We start from the raw sequence: 4507 nt of genomic DNA on the forward strand, positions 1-4507 counted from the left end.
GTTCTTTTTCAAGCTGAAGAAGTTCCCCTCTATTGAAATTTTATGGGAGTTTTTATCATGTGTGGGTGTTGAATTTTGTAAAAATATTTTTCATAAATTCATTGACCAATATATTTATTTTTTTCTTATTTAGGTTGCTAAATTTATAGATTTCACTGACTTTTTAAAAATTTTTATTAAGAAGTTTAATTATTAAATAAGCGTGCTTAAGGATAACATTTTTTTTAAGTGGACCAAGACTCATGATTGGCTGAACTTCAGAAGGTTAAATGTATACACTCATCAAAGGATTTCAGGCTTAAAATGCATTCAGTACACCACATTGAACCTCTCAATACTCTAGAACATATACGTAAGCAATGGAAAATTTTTTTTTTGCACAGTCATTTGTTATTCTCCAGAGTTTAAGCTAATTTATGGAAAAGCCAGAAATCAAAAACATTAACAATCATTTATGTAACAACAACTTGTATTAGTTGTACCATTTGCAAAATTTAAACAAACTGTCATCACAACTTTTCACATATGTAAATAAAAACATCAATATCTTACTGTTCACGATATCTTATAACACCTGTCCAAACATCCATCAAGTTATAAAGAGACTGTTTTAGATTAAACCAAAGATTTATTTGACGAGATAAAACATTTGGTTGTCACTTCTGCAACTTTGTGTTGCACAGCAGTGAGTACCCCTTTGATTAATCTAGCCTTCCCCTCTTACTGTTTCATGTTCTTGGCAGGAAGCAGATATTTCTAAGCCATTTGACACACTCAATAATGTTTTACAGTGAAGAGCCTCCACTATAATTATTCTTAACTTTACTCACTATCCTATTTTCTAGTATCTTTTTCTCTCTCGCTTTCTGGATGAAAATATTTCTCAGAACACACCTCATGCCTTCACACTTCAGCATCTAAACAAAACTTCTCTGTTGACATGAGCACTTATTTTTCCCCTCTTGGGCTGGGTTTTTATGACTTTCAATTCCAGGTCAACATTTATTCATTCTCATGTATTCTGTCACACATATTTAGCATTAAACAGAAGCAAATTGCAAACCACCAAATATTGGAAGAGAGGTATTTACTTTACTTGGTTTTTCACTAAAATGGCAAGAATGCTATAAAGACTCCCTTAAATTTGTACGTTTTACTAGTTTTAAAAGGTTTGCTCATTATAAGACATAGAATGCTCTTTATGGTCTAATGTCTTTTGTGTTTTCTCTATTTGGTCTCCTCATTAATACTTTGGTTAATTGATGCATATTTTTGAGTTACTGGTCACTTAAATACATACATGAAGAAAATAAAATATTAACATCCTGTGTATCGACTGAGTTTGTATGCAGCCCGCTTTGGAGATCAGTATATCAAAACCTGGGAGGATTGTTGTTCAGACATAGTGAGTTTAAACATTTGTCCTTTCATATGTGGTAGCTAATAATCTCTAGAGCTCATTTAGCCATATTAAATATAATCATGAAGAAGAAACAGTAACTTGCATGCGTGTTCGTGTGTGTGTGCTATTGTGATATGTATGTTTCCGGTTGAACTATTAATTCACCAGCAGGCATCAATTGCTGTTAGTACATGTGGGGAAAGCATTAAGGAATTATGCTCCTGGTTTATAATTTCAGTTTCAGGGAAAAGAAGTGGAAACAGGCTGACAAAAAGTGTAATGAGTGATCAGGATGGGAGGAATTGAGTGTCATTGGAAAGGGACATACAAAACATAGACAAGCAGATATACGAATACAGTCAAAGATGGTTTAGAATGAAATAAACAAAATGCATTATGAAACAACTATTTCGAATAATAAAATTAATCCAGTTGTGTGAAATTAAATTCTAATTTTAAAAATTCTACTAGGACATATAATTTCAATTTTTCTCTCAACAAAGATATAAAAAATATTTGGGGGAATTACGGTGAAATGAAGAATGAGAGATAAATTTAGAGCTAATTTTTTCTCAGCTTATTATTCTTACTCTAAAATCTTGGTGTTTTTCCGCCCCAAGATGGTTTCCATAATAGAAGAAAGTTTTGCTAATGGTTGGACTTTTATTTTTTAGTAAAGTATAAAACCTTATTAAATTATATTAAGTATGAATTAAAATCAATGCATTTGTATACTAAGTTCATTGACAGGGAGACTCAAGACTTTTTAAAAATAGGTTCTTCCCCAAAGGACCTATTTATTCATTGTGATTTTGAAAAATACCTCTTTTGTTTTAGAATAATTTTAGATATAACAGTAATTCGTGAGGATATTGCAGATAGTTCCCATATATCCCACATTTAATTCCCCTTATTGTAAACATCTTATATTAGTGTAGTCTATTTTCCAAAATTAATGAAGCAGGTAATTGATACATATTTATTGCTAAAGCTCATACTTTATTAAGATTTTCTTACTTTTTAGCCAATGTCCTTTTTCTAATCCAGCATCCCATTTAGGATACCCCATTACCATTAAATCGCTGTGTCTCTTAAGGGAAGATAAACATAAATTATAATGATATAGAACAATTAAAACAAAAAGTATGGACATTTCAAAGTTGAAGTTGCTCATTAATTTTAGACTCTATAAATTCCACAAAGTAAGGGAAGGTGACATAGTCAAAATTTTATCTCCAGCATCCTACAGTTATAAAAGTTGACACTCAGAAAATTATTATAATTGTATTGTAAGAAGCAGCTCCATGAAACATCAATTACCCAGCAAAAATGGGTGCATTCATATCTGATATAAACACTTCAACCAGCTATTCCAAATAATAGAGAAAAATAACATTACCTGCTTAAATGAAATTATAAGAGTATTGAATAGAGAGAACAAGAATGCAGCAATATGGTAAAACCCCATCTCTACTAAAAAACAAAAATTAGCCAGGCCATGGTGGTGCATGCCCATAGTCTCAGCTACTTGGCAGGCTGAGGCAGGAGAATCACTTGAACCCCAGGGACAGAGGTTACAGTGAGCTGAGATCATGCCACTGCTCTCCAGCCTGGGCAACAGAGCAAGACTCTGTCTCAAAAAAAAAAAAAAAAAATGCAGCAACAGATCTCAAAATGTGGTATGAAAAGCAGATGGAGAAATTCAATGTATTTAAATACAGAAGAGAGCCAATAAAGCCACATATTAGAATATAATTTTTATGACAAGACATTTCTCTCACTGAAATTTCATAAAATTGCATTCAGAACCTCGTATGTATTAGGTACTCTTCCTTTTCCATTCCTTGTTCCTGCAATAATATTTTCTTCACACATTTATAGATCTGCTTGGTTCTGACTCCATATATGACAGGATTGAGCATTGGTGGCACCACAACATAGAGATTGGCTAGGAGTATATGGATATAGCGGGGCACATTTCGGCCAAAGCGATGAGTCATAAAGGAAAAGAGGGCTGGTGTATAGAAGGCAAGGATTACACACACATGTGAACCACATGTGCTGAGGGACTTGAGTCGGGCTTCATGAGTAGGAAGACGGAAAACAGCACAAAGAATATGCACATAAGAAAGGGCAATGACTGTGATGTCAAACACTAGATTACAAATGGCACATAAACCATAAATAATATTGATTTTGATGCTGGCACAAGATAGATGAGCAAGACCCATGTGCTCACAGTAGGTGTGGGGAATTACATGATTCCCACAGAAGGGCAACCGCAATATAAGAAGTATAGAGGGAATGACGAAAATTAAAGCCCTCACAAACACACCAAGACCAATCACAGAAACAACCTTGTTGGTGAGGATGGCGCTATATTGGAGTGGATTGCAGATGGCCACATAGCTGTCATAAGCCATTGCCACAAGGACTGCTGACTCCATAAGTGTGAAGTTGTGGATAAAAAACATCTGGGTGAGGCAGGCTTCAAAGATGATCCCTCTGAGGTTGATCCAGAAGATTCCAAGCATCTTAGGGATGGTAGCTGTTGAGAGACCCACATCAGTGGTGGCCAACATGGCCAGGAAGTAGAACATGGGCTGGTGTAGGCTGCTGTCAGTCTTGATCACAAGTAGAATAGTGAAGTTCCCTATGAGTGCGATCATGTACACAGCACAGAAGGGAAAGCCGATCCAGATGTGAAGTGTTTCTAGTCCTGGGATCCCCAGCAACAGGAAGGAGGAGGGGTGAAACTGGGTGTCATTGGGAAGGAACATCCTGCTTGTGAATGCATAAGTCCACAGTCTACAGAAATGTATGCTCACCCAATCTGCATGTAACCACACAGGCTTCTGCAGTTCGGAGACAAAAATTTAATATAAGAAACATACATTTGTGCACATGATTTTTTGCAGGAAATTCTATCACTTTGAAACATACTGTATACAGAGCACTTTAGGTAAGTAACAAACATCTCAGGGATAAATTCTTAGATGAATTTATACAGTAAATTAAAATAAAATGTTCTACGTGATACTTTCAACTTTGCTAGCATTCTACTCTACCTAAACCCTATCAATATAACCTCACTGCCAATATTAT

The 4507-nt window shown here is 34.9% G+C and overlaps 1 protein-coding gene across 1 annotated transcript; it reads right to left on the bottom strand.

The window, feature by feature from the left end:
* Positions 1–3204: 3204 nt before the first annotated feature.
* Positions 3205–4182, bottom strand: OR52E2 (olfactory receptor family 52 subfamily E member 2). The gene has a single exon (NM_001005164.2). It carries the CDS (start codon positions 4180–4182, stop codon positions 3205–3207), a length of 978 nt encoding a protein of 325 aa, NP_001005164.2.
* Between the last annotated feature and the right edge of the window lie 325 nt (positions 4183–4507).

This window comes from Homo sapiens, chromosome 11, assembly GCF_000001405.40.
Source record: "Homo sapiens chromosome 11, GRCh38.p14 Primary Assembly".
In the NCBI taxonomy this organism is placed as follows: Eukaryota; Metazoa; Chordata; class Mammalia; order Primates; family Hominidae; genus Homo; species Homo sapiens.